Genomic DNA, 16,283 nt, shown 5'->3' on the forward strand with positions numbered 1-16,283 from the left:
AGCACTAAAACACAGAACAACTTAGGGAGCTATGCACCCAGGAGGAATTCATGACCACATAGGGGGGAAAAAATAAGAGTTTCTGGTGGGGAGTGGAGTAATAGTTTTTTTTTTTTTCTTTTCTTTTCTTTTTGAGACAGAGTTTCACACTGTCGCCCGGGCTGGAGTGCAATGGCACAATCTCGGCTCACTGCAACCACCTGCCGGGTTCTCGCAATTCTGCCTCAGTCTCCGGAGTAGCTGGATTTTTTTTTTCCCTCACTCTATAGGAAATCCATTTGCTGTAATTTATATCCATCATTAAATCTCACCATATCCATTTGACTTAGGCCTTTTGGAGTTAGGCAGAAGGGCCCTTCTTCCTGTTTGGCTGACAGCTCCCAGGCAGCCTCAGTAAACTGAGAGAGAGAGCAGAGTGATTCGTCAAGACTACCTTGTGACAGGGGCACACCACCACAACCCAGCTAATTTTTTGTATTTTTAATAGAGACGGGGGTTTCACTGTGTTGGCCAGACTGGTCTTGAACTCCTGACCTCGTAATCCACCTGCCTCGGCCTCCCAAAGTGTTGGAATTACAGGTGTGAGCCACCGCGTTCGGCCGAGTAACACTTTATACCCATCCTTGAAAAAGAAAAAGGGCCTTTATGAACACTGACACTTAAAAAAAAAAAAAAAAAAAAAAAAAAAAAAAAACAGTGTAACTTGGCCAGGGTCAAATCTGTCACATTGCTTTTTCTTACATTTGAGGTTTTTTGGGGTGTTGTATATAGTAGGACTATAGAAGGAGTATCTTTAGTTGAAAACACATGTTATGCAAACATGGAAAAATTTGCTCAGCTACATTGTAATAGTCTACCCTTTCTGCCAGCCCTAAATTGTATAGAGGAATTTAAGTAAAATGTTTGCTTTTTTTTTTTTCCCTCACCCTATAGGAAATCCATTTGCTGTAATTTATATCCATCATTAAATCTCACCATATCCATTTGACTGAGGCCTTTTGGAGTAGGCAGAAGGGCCCTTCTTCCTGTTTGGCTGACAGCTCAAGTTCCCAGGCAGCCTCAGTAAACTGAGAGATAGAGCAGAGTGATTCGTCAAGACTACCTTGTGACTCAGTCAGATCCCAAAATAGAAATGGGGAAACTCTGTTTCAATCTTGCAGGCTGTAATTTAAGGAGGAAAACAACTAATTTTTTTTTGGGTGGGGGGGACAGAGTCTCTGTCTCCCAGGCTGGAGTGCAGTGGCACCATCTCGGCTTACTGCAACCTCCACCTCCCAGGTTCAAGCAATTCTCCTGCCTCAGCCTCCCAAGTAGCTGGGATTAAAGGTGTGCGCCACCACGCCTGGCTAAATTTTTTTTTGTATTTTTTTAGTAGAGATGGGGTTTCACCATGTTGGCCAGGCTGGTCTCAAACTCCTGACCTCAGGTGATCCACCCACCTTGGCCTCCCAAAGTTCTGGGATTACAGGTGTGAGCCACCATGCCTGGCCACTTTACTAAATAAATTTTAAAAGCTTTATCAGGGAAGAAAACTAGTGTCAATTCAACTAATCTGAGGTGAATCTGAATTCACTACACTCATAGAAAGGATAGAGAGATACATTTAATTCACTCTTTAAAATAGTTTACTGATAATGTTTGATCCCTTTCGTCCATTTAATAAGATAGATTGCTTTGTTTTTGCAATCACTCTCCTATCTCCCCACCCAAGCTTCTGATCCTCTGACTCTTGACTTGGTCTACCCTGTGAATTACACCCTAGAGTCTGTAAATTTATTCACACATATTCATACACAGATACGGTAGCATTTTAAAATTTGGCCAGGTATAGTGGCTCACACTTGTAAATCCCAGCACTTGGGAGGCCAAGGTGGGAGGATGAGCCCAGGAGTTTGAGACCAGCCTGGGCAACATAATAAGACCCTCATCTCTACAAAAAAAAAAAAATAGGTAGGTGTGGTGGCACTCATCTGTAGTCCCACCTACTGAGGTGGGAGGATCATTTGAGTTCAGGAGTTGGAGGCTGCAGTGACCTGTGATCATGCCACTGCACTCCAGCTTGGGCAACAAAGAGAGACCCTGTCTTAAAAAAAAAATTTATTTTTTTTGAGACAGAGTCTTGCTCTGTTGCCCAGGCTGGAATGCAGTGGCGCCATCTCGGCTCGCTGCAAGCTCCGCCTCCTGGGTTCACGCCATTCTGCCTCAGCCTCCCGAGTAGCTGGGACTACAGGCGCCCGCCACCACGCCCGGCTAATTTTTTGTATTTTGTTTAGTAGAGACGGGGTTTCACTGTGTTAGCCAGGATGGTCTCGATCTCCTGACCTCGTAATCCGCCTGTCTTGGCCTCCTAAGGTGCTGGGATTATAGGTGTGAGCCACTGCGCCTGGCCAAAATTTTTTTTTAATTTAACAATTCCAATATAATAGGGATTTTTAAATTTTATTAATTTTACAAATATTTTTGAGAATCTGCTACATGCTAAATATAGTTGTAGATACTGGGAATACATCTGTGAACAAAATATTTGAAATCTCTGCCCTCATGAAGCTTATATTCTAATTGGGAGAGACATGATAAACATGTAAAATATTAGGTAATCTTAAGCGTTATGCGAAAAAAAGTGAAGCAGAGTAAGGGAGAGAGTAACAGGGTGATATTCCACTTGCCAAAGAAAGCATATACTATTTTCAGGGAAGTAGTAGGATATTTCTATAGCAAAAAGCTGAAGGGGAAGGGCTCTTTGCACAATTTTTGGTGGGAGGGGTCCTATGTTTACTCTTACAGTGCAGCAGGAGACATATGATGTGCATTTTGTTTCATTACATAAAATACAGGCTTGAGGAAATGAGAGTAGTTTTAAATTTCAGAACAGCAGAAGGTTCTTTGAAGTTGGTCACTCAGCACGTAATGTATTGCCTTTGTATGCAGCGAGGGTTCATTTATTGATATCTGATGAAATGCTCCTCCTTAGATTTTGAAGGGCTACTTTTGCTGGATTGTAATACTTTTCCCTCTGATTACGGTAGAGACAGGCTATAACAGGCCAGCACTTGTACTAGTTTCAGATTATCTACCATGCCTATGTAGGGATGCTAGTATTTCTACCTCAGAAGCCCAAGGCTTCTTTACCTGTTGCTGTTGTCATCTAATTTTCCTATTTAAAAAATACTATTTTCCCTAACTTACCTTGATACTCAGCAAAACCATATTTTGTGTCATGTGTCTTATCAGGAACAGCACTGCCTAGAAAAGATACAAAGCCAGAAGATTTTTTTCAGCTTAGTCATGTCTATTTTTTCTCCCCTGTAACTAAGACATTTATCAGCATGATTGATTGGATTTTTTTAGGGGGCGAGGGAATGAAGGACTTGATTCTCAGTCCTTCAGAGATGTACTCTAACAGGTTCAGTACCTTCCTTCCTCAAGGCAATCAGATTTGGTTTAGAAATGTGCCTCTTGTCTTTTTCTGATGATCCAGATTTGAACTTTGCTCCATTTATTGGGGCAAGATGGCCATATTTTATGGCCTGTAGTTAGCGCAGACTTCAGATTTCTTCTGAAAATATCACGGCAATAATAATGTGATACAGTGCTACTCAAATACTTAAATTTTGAGTTGTTTATATCCTTGAAGACAACATTGTGAAACATAATACTCATATCCTCAGTTTCGTATTAGATGATTACTAATCCAGAGACAAAGCTGTGCGATGAAATCAGGAAATATTCTCCAGAGTGTTTCCCAAGAAGGATGGGCACTTCATTTTGTTAACAGGATATGTTAGTGAGTGAACTCTAATAAGGAAGTTATAAAGCTGTTAAAAGGCTTAAGAATCCTTTTTTGTCAGCAAAAGAGGGCCAAAGTGTTGGTAAAAATCTTTGGAATAAGACCTAATGAGTTGGCTCCAGCAATTCACTTTATATGATGTGCTGTAGAAGTAGCTACTGAAATTGTGCTCAATATTTTGGTGTATAATTACAAACTGAGCAGGAATGGTTTTATGCAGCTTGTTAGGGAAATAATATTCTAGTCAAAATATGTAAACACCAAGGCTGTTTCTTTGAAGTGTAGCCTTCAAAGAGTTAGGTTATATCCATTTTGTGTATGCTTGGTACATAGTTTAGTTTTAATAAATGCTTGAAATAAAGGGGAAAAGCAGAGTACCATGTAAGGAAAAGCAGTCTAATGAGCCGACAGAGAGAACAGATTTTTTTTAGGGTAAACTACAGAATAGCCAAGAAGGCTTGTCAATCACAGGTTGCTTTCAGAAATAAGACATTCCACACTGGAAACTAAGGAGCCACAAAGGCAGAGAACTTGGGAACATGTCACTGGTGTTGAGAAATAAAAGGAAGAATAAATTCTGAATGAGAGTGGATTTTGATTTAGCTTAGATAACATGGTTTTCACATTGATGAAAACAGTCTTCAGTGTCACAGGAAGAATGCAGAAACTACAAACTTAATTGGTTCATAAGGCTAGACTGTCAATATAAAAGGTGAATTCACCCAGTAAGCTACAATTATGCCTCTCTTGGAAGGGGATCTGATATTCTCCAATTTCAGTAAACTGGATTTGCAGTTTTAAAATGTATTAACACCCAGTATGAGCTTAGTACTGACTTTTAAAGTAGGAGAAGCAGTATACCAAATAATTTATGAGCGTAGGCTTTGGGGTTTTTTTTTGTTTTTGTTTTTGTTTTTGAGACAGAGTCTCGCTCTGTCGCCCAGACTGGAGTGCAGTGGTGCGATCTTGGCTCACTGCAACCTCCGCCTCCCAGGTTCAAGCGAGATTCTCTTGCCTCAGCCTCCCGAATAACTGGGATTACAGGCACCCGCCACCACGCCCAGCTATTTTTTGTATTTTTAGTAGAGATGGGGTTTCACCATGTTGGCCAGGCTGATCTCAAACTCCTGACCTCGTGATCCACCCACCTCAGCCTCCCAAAGTGCTGGTATTATAGGCATGAGCCACCACGCCCAGCCGAGCGTAGCCTTTGAAAATACTTGGGTTCTAGTCTTAGCACTGCACTATGATCTTAGTTCCTTGCCTACTAACAAAGGAAAAAAAAAACTTTTTAAATGTTTAAAAAGATCTTAGGTAAGTTACTTAGCATCTATAATTTTAAGCTTTCTTAGCCTGTTATCATAGTGGTTAAGAATGCAGGCACCAACATGAGGATTCAAATCCCAGCTCTGTTGCTTCCTAGCTATGTCATCTTAGGCAAGCTACTAAACTATGGCTCAGTTTCCTCATATGGAGGGAGGCAGAGAGAGAGAGAAAAATTACCAAAATCATTGGATTGTTGACATTCATTGATCCCTGAATAAATGTTAGCTGTTATCAGGAATTTTTGTGAGTACCTCCTAACTTGTAAGTACTAGGTATAGGCCAGGCATGGTGGGTTTTGCCTATAATTCCAACATTTTGGGAGGCTGAGGCAGGAGTATTGCTTGAGGTCAGAAGTTCAAGACCAGCCTGGGCAACATAGTGAGACCCCCATCTCTGCAAATAAAAGAATCAGCTGGGCATGGCAGCACAGACCTGTAGTCCCCGCTACTTGGGAGGCTGAGGTGGGAGGATCTCTTGAGCCCAAGAGTTCAAGGCTGCAGTGAGCTATGATCATGACACTGCACTCCATCCTGGGGGACAGAGTGAGACCCCATCTCTAAAGATAATTTTTTTTTCTTTTATGAGACAGGATCTCGCTTTGTCACCGAGGCTGGAGTGGCATGATCATGGCTTACTGTAGCCTCAGGCTCTGGAGCTCAAGCCGTCCCACCTCAGCTCTCCTGAATAGCTGGGACCACAGGTGCATGCCACCATGCCCAGCTAATCTTGCTTATTTTTTATAGAGATGAGGTCTCACTATACCCAGGCTGACCTCAAACTCCTCGACTCAAGTGATCCTCCTGCCTCAGCCTCCCAAAATTTGGCGATTATAGGCGTGAGCCACTGCACCCAGCCTAAGAGTAAATAAATTTATAAAAGAAGTACTGGGTATAATTGCTATCTTTCAAGAAACTGACATTCTGGTTATAAAGATCAGGCTAACACATATGAAAATAAAATCAATATAGGGCATTATATAAGTAAGTGTTAAAGAGTGTGATATAGACAATAAAGTTTTATTCATTAAATGAATATTGCCTACCGTGCACCAGGTAGGCAGCAGTGAGTACTGAGGATACAACAGTGAATCCTACACAGTTCCCATTCTCAGGAAGCTCACAATCTTGTGATAAAGCAGATATTAATATTAGTAGATGGGTAGTAGAATCATATAACACAGTGAAATAAATGCTACAGTGAGAATTAGAACTGGGAGCTGTGGGAGCTCACAGGAGAGGCATATACCCTGGTCTTAGGAAATCAGAAAAGGCTTATCAGAAGTCGTCGAATGTGAAGGTGGGAAAGAGTGTTCTTGGCACATCAAACAGTGCAGAAACCTGGAAGTATAGGCTATCATTGTGCTAGTGGAGCTTTTAGGGTCGTGGTTAAAATGGGGCCAAAAACCAAAAACATGAAGCCAAAGAAGTATACACTTTCTGGCTAGGTTATGGAGGTCCCTGAATGTCATATTGAGTGTAGACTTTATTCTGAAGGCAATAAAGAGCCAGTAAAGATTTTCATGCAAAAGAGTAGCAAGAGTCAGACTTCTGTTTTAACAAAGATCACTGTGGCTACAGGGAAGCCATCCATGATGGAAGGCTGGAAACCAAGGAGGCTGTTGCAGAGATTTCAGTGAGATAGGATAGTGACCTGGATCCAGAATTGAGTCAGGCCACCTGGGTTTGAATCCTGCTCTGCCACTTAGTAGTTATGTGACTTTATGCAAGTTATTTAACCACTCTTTGCCTCTGTTACCTAATCTGAAAATTGGAGATAATAAAATTTACCTTATGGGCTTATTGTGAGGATAAATCACTTAGAACACACCTGCCTAGCACATATTTAAGTGCTTTAAAAATGTAGGCAGTGAAGGCTGGTCACAGTGGCTCACGTCTGTAATCCCAGCACTTTGGGAGGCCGAGGCGGGCGGATCACGAGGTCAGGAGTTTGAGACCAGCCTGGCCAATATGGTGAAACCCTGTCTCTACTAAAAATACAAAAATTAGCCGGGCCTGGTGGCACGTGCCTGTAGTCCCAGCTACTCGGGAGGCTGAGACAGACGAATCACTTGAACCAGGGAGGCGGAGGTTGCCGTGAGCTGAGATCATGCCACTGCACTCCAGCCTGGGCGACAGAGCGAGACTCCATCTCAAAAAAAAAAAAAAAAAATGTAGGCAGTGAAGAGAAGCAAACTAAGAATAAGCAGGATTCCATGACTGAAGGAAGGTTAGAAGCAAATAAGAAGAATAAGGAATTCGGTTTCTGGTTTAGGAGCTTAGGGGATGGTGGTGACTTTCACTGAGATAAGAAACCTGAGGAAAAGCAGGTTTGGGGGAGGCTGAGAAGGCACCACCAGAGGTGACTGGATTGCAACCAGAAGAGTATAATGTCAGAGAAGCTAAGGAGAGTGTTTCAGGGAGGAGGGAATGGTCAGCATTGTTAAATGTTACCAAGGATGATCAAGTGAAATAAAAGCTAAAAAGAATTAATTGGTTTTAGCAACAAGAAGGCCATTGGTGACCTTGTCAGGAGGAATTTTTATGATAAGGAAGGAGGGCTAAAAATGTATGGATTATGGAAGGAATAAGAGATGAAGAAGGGAGACTGTGAGAACAGACAATTCCTCCAAGTTTAGCTGGGTAGAAGGATTATGGACAGGGCTGACATTGGACCCAGTACACTGATTTGGCCTATTGCCTGTGGCATTCTGAGTGGTTGGACATTCATTCTAATTGGTCAGTAACCATACCAGGGAGGTGAGAAAGGGGAGCTGATGTGGGAACACACATTGGATTTGCTCTTGGTAGTTTTGAATTTGACGTAAGGACAAGCAAGCTATGTATATAGAAATGTCCAGCAAGCAATTTGATAGGGGACTAGTGGTGGGAAGACTGGACAGAAAATTAGAGTAAAAACTCAAGTGAGTGAGGATAGGCTAGAAGGTACCAAAACAAAGGCAGGCTGGCAGGAAGGCACAAAGAAGCTTTAGGTCTAGCCATAAAATTCATGAACATTTTGAGATTGTGTGAACTCGGGGTGGGAAATGAGTTGCAAAGTTGAAGTAAGAAACCAGACCTCAAATCCAGATTTCATAGCTTATAAAGAACATTTTTAGTAAACAGAGGAGTTCAAGGATGGAGTCCAGTAGCTCTAAGCTGTTAGGGAGAGGAAATAGGAAAGGAAAGTCCCCGGTTTGGAGCCGGAGCAGTGAACTTTGGCATGGCATGATAGGCTCTGTGGGTTAACTTTAGGAATGCAGCACTTTAGCCCCAGTTGTTGGTTGCTGTGTCTTCAGCATGTAAAAACACTCATTTGTGTATTTCAAGTGCACCAAACCCTGATTGCAATGTTTGGCATTAATTACTTCACTTTTTTTGTTTTCTTTGTTTAGAGACAGGGTCTTGCTATGTTGCCCAAGGGGACTTGAACTCCTATGCTCAAGCAGTCTTCCCACCTCAGCTGGGACTATAGATATGCACCACTGTGCCTAGCGTATTACTTTAAATGTATCATATATGGTTGTAGTTTGTATTTGTATGTATGTAAACAATACATAAATTAGATGTTAATCTATTAACGATTCAAAAACCGCAATTACTTTTGCACCAACCTAAATATATCCTGGGTGGGGTAACAACAAAGTAGATGGGAAAATATCTTTGTTCCCTCTTTATAATCCTGGTATTTCATTCTCTTATTAGTGTTTATTCTTTCAGTCAGCAAATAGCTGTTGAGTACCTTCTGTGTCAGGGACTGCTTTTCCTTTTATTATCTCACTTTTCTCCTGGCCATCTTTCCCATTCTGCTCTGTGGAGTCTTCTCCTTGAAACTTTCTTCACCCATTTTTTTTTCTGACAGTTGGCTCCATCTCATCTCTTCTTAAGAGGTGTCCTTTAGATAATTCATCTATTAGGAAACACAGTGAATGTTACACATTCTTCATATATATTCCTCATACAGATTGAGAGCTTCTGCTATTATTCCATTACAGTCAGCAAAATGGAGAGAGAAAGGAAAAAGAATCTCAGACAAGATCATAGAGTGATTGTGGCTGGAAGGAAGTCCAAGGACAACAGAAATCAACATTTTATTACAATGAGGCCCAATTATATGATCTGATTGCTGCCCTTCTCACCCTCTGTGAAGCCCAGTTAACAGAAATGAGCAGTGCTGTGGGAGGTGTCATAAGTGGACTCAAATTGGCCCCAGAATGGCAAACTCTGAGTTCAATAATAGATTAAGTACCAGCTTCAAACACTCAGTGTGTTCTCTGAGTTCCCAAAGATATTTCTACCTGGAGCTTTCTTCTACACTTACCTTAATGGCTCAGTTGGAAGTCAGCCATCACTGCTAAGTGTTCTTAGTTCTATGCAGCATTGGCAGGAGCTTCCCTATTATCCTGATGTTAGTAATAGAAAGTCTGCCCAGTTGTAGCCAGGCTGTTCCCCCTAAAGCAATAGTGGAGCATTTCCACTTTCTAGGATCTTGTCCTTTCCAACACTGAGTGGACTAACCTCTTGTCACTTTCACCAGTCATTAGATTTATGAGAAAATCTCCCCATTCCTAGAGTGGATCTGCTATCAGGCAGCAATCTGCTTTTTGCTCTGAATTTCTGATCTCTTGGATACAGTAGGAGAATCTGCTCCGATGAACATTAAATTAATATATGTAAAGCATTTAGAAGAATGCCTCACACATATTAAGAGTTTCTGCTATTATCATTAATACTATCGTTGTTATTGCCACCATCTAGGATCAGAAGCTAGAGCTTAGCTGAACATCTAATTCTTGCTCTTGTTATTCTGAGTGGTTTAGCAAATCCAATTTATCTGGAAATGGGGCTGAATATGTTTGGTTTCCGCTCAATTTTGTGGCCATTGCCACTTCAAAGAGTTTTCAAAAGGTCAAAATGTTATCATTTTAGTGTTTTTACTTCTTAGGGCTTCAACATCCCCTCTCTGGATTCTTAAGAGACTCTGATCCTGAATCAGTGAAATGGATAATCGAGCAATCTCTGCATGAAAGATGTACATTTTATCCAGTCATCCAGTGTTTAACAAACACCAGCTCAATGTGGGACAGTAATAAATGTCATCGCTAACATTTATTGAGCACCTAGTATGTGCCAGATACTGTTCTAAGTGCTTTATATATACTATCTCATTTATTCTTCATAAAAACCCTATATATAGGCACTGTTATTATCTTCCTTTTACAAATGAAGAAACAATCATAAAGAGGTTAAGTAATTTGCGTAAAGCCACAAAGATAAGTGAAAGAGCTGGGATATGTACCCAGGCAGTCATATCTCATAGCTTTTGCTAGTTACCACCTCACTGTACTGACAGGGAGAACCCTGGATTTAAGAGGCAGAAGTTCGGCTGGGCGCGGTCGCTCACGCCTGTAATCCCAGCACTTTGGGAGGCCGAGGTGGGCAGATCACGAGGTCAGGAGATTGAGACCATCCTGGCTAACACGGTGAAACCCCGTCTCTACTAAAAGTAGAAAAAATTAGCCGGGCGTGGTGGCAGGCGCCTGTAGTCCCAGCTACTTGGGAGGCTGAGGCAGGAGAATGGCGTGAACCTGGGAGGCAGAGCTTGCAGTGAGCTGAGATCACACCACTGCACTCCAGCCTGTCTCAAAAAAAAAAAAAAAAAAAAAAGAGGCAGAAGTCCAATCTGGTCTCAACTCCTCCATTCCATCATTTAACAAGTTGAATGACCTTAGGTATACCTTTCTTGAAACTCAAGTTTCTTTATCTGTAAAATGGATAGGGTAATACGTACTTCACAGGATGGTTGTGAAGACTGTTATGTGCCCTGGACTTCTTAGGCATTCAGTAAATGTTAGCTTCTCTCACTACCCGATTCTAAGCACTACACTGGTGCTCAAGATTGACTAAGAAAGTTGTACCTCCGGCCGGGCGCAGTGGCTCATGGCCGTAATCCCAACACTTTGGGAGGCTGAGACGGGCGGATCACGAGGACAAGAGATCGAGACCATCCCGGTCAACATGGTGAAATCCCGTCTCTACTAAAAATACAAAAATTAGCTGGGCATGGTGATGTGCGCCTGAAATCCCAGCTACTGGGGAGGCTGAGGTAGGAGAATCACTTGAACCCGGGAGGCAGAGGTTGCAGTGAGCCGAGATCGTGCCATTGCACTCCAGCCTGGCGACAGAGCAAGACTCTGTCTCAAAAAAAAAAAAAAACAGAAAAAGTTCTACCTCCTTGTGGTCCCAGTCTGGGATGAAGAGGGAAGAAGAGGACAAATATGGGACCAGGTCATTATGGTATAGTATAAGAAATACCACTTTAGAGGAATATACAGAGAGAAGAATACAGAAAGTTACATTTTCTGAGATGGGGCAAGGAGGAGTTGAAGTTTCAGGGTACCAGTGACATTTGTGTTGGGCATTGAAAAACAGGCTTGGATGGGATGGACAGAAGGCACAAAAGTTTCTGAGCAGAAGAAACAGCATGTGTGCAGGCGCTAAAGTATGGCAGAGCTCAGAGTATGTGTTCTAGTAATGGCTAGAGGTTTGGTATGCAGTTGGGTATTGGAGGTGAGATGGTAACTGAGTAGTAACAAATGAGTTTGCAAAGAGAGGCATTCAAGGCTTCAGATGTCAGTTATGTCCCAGCACCACGAAGACAGTAAAACATAGACATCTTTTAAAAGAAAATTTACCGAAAGTAAATAAATTTAGCAACAAAAACTTTATAAATGCTCTTTTCTATTGAGATACAATTCACATATCATGAAATTCATCATTTTACAGCATACAGTTCAGTAGTTGTTAGTACCTGTGCGTCACTTAACAACAAGGATAGGTTCTGAGAAATGCGTCATGCAAACATCATAGAGTATAATTACACAAACCTAGACGGGACAGCCTACTACATATCTAGGCTATATGGTGTAACCTACTGATCTCAGGCTACAAACCTGTACAGCATCTAACTGTACTAAATACTATAGGCAACTTTAACACAATGATAAGTATTAGTGTATCTAAACATAGAAAAGGTACAGTAAAAATATGGTATTATAATCTTATAGCGGGGATCCCCAAACCCCAGGGCTGTGGCCAGTTAGGAACCCAGTAGCACAGCAGGAGGTGAGCAGCAGGTGAGCAAACATTACCATCTGAGCTCTGCCTCTTGTCAGATCAGTGGTGACATTAGATTCTAATAGGAGTGTGAACCCTATTGTGAACTGCACATGCTAGGGATCTAGGTTGCGCACTCCTTCCAAGAATCTAACTAATGCCTGATGATCTGAGGTGGAACAGTTTCATCCTGAAACCATCCCCCCATCACCCCCAGTCCATGGAAAAATTGTCTTCCATGAAACCAGTCCCTGGTGCCAAAAAGGTTGGGGACCACTGTGTTATAGGACCACTGTCATATATGCGGTCTGTTGACTGAAACATCATTATGTGGCTCATGTCTGTATATTCACAAGGTTGTGTAACCATCACCGCTATCTAATTCCAGAACACTTCATCACCCCAAAAAGAAACGCTGGTACCTGTCTACAGCCATACCACCCTGAACATGTGCAATCTTGTCTGATCTCAGAAGCTAAGCAGGGTTGAGTCTGGTTAGTACTCAGATGGGAGAAACCTAGTACCTGTTGGCAGCCACTCTTCATTTTCCTTTCTCCTCACCCTCTGGCAACCTCTGATCTCCTTCTTTTTTAAATAATAATAATAATAATTATTATTATTATTATTATTATTATTGTTATTATTATTTTGAGACGGAGTCTCGCTCTGTCAGCCAGGCTGGAGTGCAGTGGCATGATCTCGGCTCACTGCAAGCTCCGCCTCCCAGGTTCACGCCATTCTCCTGCCTCAGCCTCCCGAGTAGCTGGGACTACAGGCGCCCGCCAGCGTGCCCGGCTAATTTTTTGTATTTTTAGTAGAGACGGGGTTTCACCACGGTCTCGATCTCCTGACCTTATGATCCACCCACCTTGGCCTCCCAAAGTGCTGGGATTACAGGCGTGAGCCACTGCGCCTGGACTCTTTTTTAAAATTTTTATTATTTTATTTGTTATTGTCCCAAGTGTTCCAAGTAAATACTGATCTCTTTGTATTTCTATGGATATGCCTATTCCAGACATTTTATGTAAATGGAATCATACTATATGCAACCTTTTGTGTCTGGCTTCTTCTACTAAGCATGATGTTTTGAAGGTTCATCTAAGTTGTAGCATGTATCAGCATTTCTTTTTATGGCTGAATAATATTCCTGTGTATGGATGTACCATATTTTGTTTATCTAGTCATCAGTTGGTGGACATTTGAGTTGTTTCCACCTTTTGGCTATTATGAATAATGCTACTATGAATATTCATGTACAGGTTTTTGTTTGATACCTGTTTTCATTTCTTTTGAGTATATACCTAGGAGTGGCATTGCTGGTTATTCTGTGTTTAACTTTTCGAGGAACCATCAAACTATTTTCTTTTCTTTTTCTTTTTTTTTTTTTTTTTGAGATGGAGTCTCGCTCTGTCACCCAGGCTGGAGTGCAGTGATGTGATCTTGGTTCACTGCAATCTCCGCCTCCTGGGTTCAAATGACTCTCCTGCCTCAGCCTCACGAGCAGCTGCGATTACAGGTGTGAGCCACCACACCCGGCTCTACTAAAAATACAAAAATTTGTATTTTTAGTAGAGACAGGTTTTGCCATGTTGGCCAGGCTGGTCTTCATCTCCCAACCTCAGGTGATCCACCCCCCTCAGCTCCCCAAAGTTCTGAGATTGCAGACGTGAGCCACTGTGCCCGGCTGATCAAACTACTTTCCGTATCAGTTTTTCCACATCAAAGTTTAGACAAGATTGGACATGTTCGTGGTGGTATGGCTGTAGTCAGGTACTGGTGGCTGTACCAGTTTACATCCCACCAGCAATGTATGAGGATTCTAATTTTTCCACATCCTTGCCAACAAGGATGTTGTTGATTTTTTTCCTTTTTTATTATGGCCATATTTGTGAGTGCGAAGTAGGATCTCATTGTGGTTTTGATTTGCATTTTCCTAATGACTAATGTGCTTGTTGGCTGTTTGTTTATATTCTTTGAAGAAATGTTTATTGAAGTCCTTTCCCCCATTTTAAAAATCAGGTTGTCTTTTTGTTGTTGAGTTGTAAGAGTTGTTTTTCATTTTTGTTTTTTTTTTTTTTTTTTTTGACAAGGTTTCACTCTGTTGCCCAGGCTGGAGTGCAGTGGCACAATCTTGGCTCACTGCAATCTCTATCTCCCAAGCTGAAGTGATTCTCCTGTCTCAGCCTCCCAAGTAGCTGGGACTACAGGTGCATGCTACAGTGCCCAGCTTATTTTTTGTATTTTTAGTAGAGACGGGGTTTCACCATGCTGCCCAGGCTGGTCTGGAACTCTTGAGCTCAGGTAATTCACCTGCCTCAGCCTCCCAAAGTGCTGGGATTACAGGCGTAAACCACCGCACCCAGCCAAGAGTTTTTTATATACTCTGGTTACTAGACCCTTATCAGATATATGACTTGGAAATATTTTCTGCCAGTCTGTGGGTTGTCTTCTCACTTTCTTGATAGTCCTTTGATGCACAAAGTTGTAAATTTTGATCAACTCAATTGTATCTGTTTTTTCCTTTAGTGTTTTATGCTTCTGATATCCTATTTTGCATGTGGATATCCAGCACTATTTGTTATAGATTAACCTTTCTCCATTGAGTAGTCTTTTTTTTTTTTTTTTTTTTTTTTTTTTTTTTTGAGACAGAGTCTCACTCTATCGCCCAGGCTGGAGTGCAGTGGCACGATCTCTGCTCACTGCAAGCTCCGCCTCCCGGGTTCACGCCATTCTGCCTCAGCCTCCCCAGTAGCTGGGACTACAGGTGCCTGCCACCATGCCCGGCTAATTTTTTGTGTTTTTAGTAGAGATGGGGTTTCACCGTTTTAGCCAGGATGGTCTCGATCTCCTGACCTCGTGATGCACCTGCCTTGGCCTCCCAAAGTGCTGGGATTACAGGTGTGAGCCACCGCGCCCGGCCAGATAGTCTTAATACTCTTGTGGAAAGTCAGTTGACCACAGATGTTTAAGTTTATTTCTGGACTCTCAATTCTGTTCCATACATATATATGTCTATTCTCTACCAGTATGATATATTGTTTTGATTATTTAGCTTTTTGAATGCTCTACTTTTATTACTCCAAATGTGCTTCTGACTTTTAGTACATTTTAGTATATCATGATCATTATTTCATATTTTCCTTTTTTTGATGCAAGTACTTCTGTGTGGATCATTTGCATAATTAGCACACTTGCCATTTAAGGTAATTAAGAAGTGTTTGTTTTATTGCCTTACTGTGCTGTGGTTAGATTTTCCAGGCTCTTATTTTCTGAGTTGTTTTTTACTGTTTTAGAAAGACTTGTTTGCACTATTTCTTCTGGACCCAGACTCATTCACTACTGAGGCCCACTCCCTTGATGTCAAAGAATACTGGCTGCTGTTTTTAGTTCATCCTCACAGAAACTCAGGCTATACCTATCTGCTTCAGCTCAGTGCTGATACTTCCTGCCAGTTGTGGACTGAACTTCTGATGCAGAAAGCCTGCTAAGAAAACCTCTTCCTTGAACCAGAGCTTTCCAGAAGTCAAGAGTGGCACTGGCCTTATGATCTATGATATGCTTTGTTGTAAATTACAATCCCTGAGATGTCATACTGATGAGGAGACACATGGGAAAGAACCTGTCTTTTAAACCTCTTTCATGGTGCCAGAACAAGCATTTATAAGCACTGTTTCCATATGTACTGTACCCTCGTCTTTAGAAAGGAAGAGCCATCAGAAATTATGGGTCTTGTTCAGGGTCATCCAGTGATGTCAGAGTGCTGCCAGGAACAGAATTCATCCCCCACTCCCATGGATTCCTTTGTTGTTATCATTACCAAATGCTCCTTTCCTATTGGTCAACAGAAAATATATCTCAGTATTTTTTCCAAGGGAGGTTTTGAATTTCTTATTCCCTTTTGGGAAATCAAGATGATTTTCCTCTTCCCCAGTTGGATTCTGTACCCATTTCATTAAAGTCCGTGCTAGATTTAATTTTTTTTTTTTTTTTTTTGAGATGGAGTCTTGCTCTGTCACTAAGGCTGGAGTGCAGTGGCTCGATCTCAGCTCAGTGCAACC

General features: G+C 41.7%; 1 long non-coding RNA gene and 1 pseudogene across 1 annotated transcript, besides 2 other annotated features; one reads left to right on the forward strand and one right to left on the reverse strand.

Moving 5' to 3' along the window:
• Positions 1 to 189: 189 nt before the first annotated feature.
• LOC105372997 (uncharacterized) lies at positions 190 to 10,032 on the reverse strand. The gene is made up of 4 exons (XR_001755493.3): positions 8,852 to 10,032; positions 3,187 to 3,243; positions 976 to 1,067; positions 190 to 398 (listed from the first exon to the last, which is right to left on the reverse strand). It is a non-coding gene; the product is annotated as an uncharacterized LOC105372997 (long non-coding RNA).
• Positions 2,737 to 2,786: an enhancer, noted in NCBI's record as "active region_18855". NCBI's record gives its function as "activates an Ori minimal core promoter by ATAC-STARR-seq in GM12878 lymphoblastoid cells {active_cell/tissue: GM12878}" and the evidence as "EXISTENCE:reporter gene assay evidence [ECO:0000049][PMID:35858748]".
• Positions 12,650 to 12,758, forward strand: RNA5SP496 (RNA, 5S ribosomal pseudogene 496; annotated as a pseudogene).
• Positions 13,953 to 14,012: an enhancer, noted in NCBI's record as "active region_18856". NCBI's record gives its function as "activates an Ori minimal core promoter by ATAC-STARR-seq in GM12878 lymphoblastoid cells {active_cell/tissue: GM12878}" and the evidence as "EXISTENCE:reporter gene assay evidence [ECO:0000049][PMID:35858748]".

Source organism: Homo sapiens, chromosome 22, assembly GCF_000001405.40.
Source record: "Homo sapiens chromosome 22, GRCh38.p14 Primary Assembly".
Classification (NCBI taxonomy): Eukaryota; Metazoa; Chordata; class Mammalia; order Primates; family Hominidae; genus Homo; species Homo sapiens.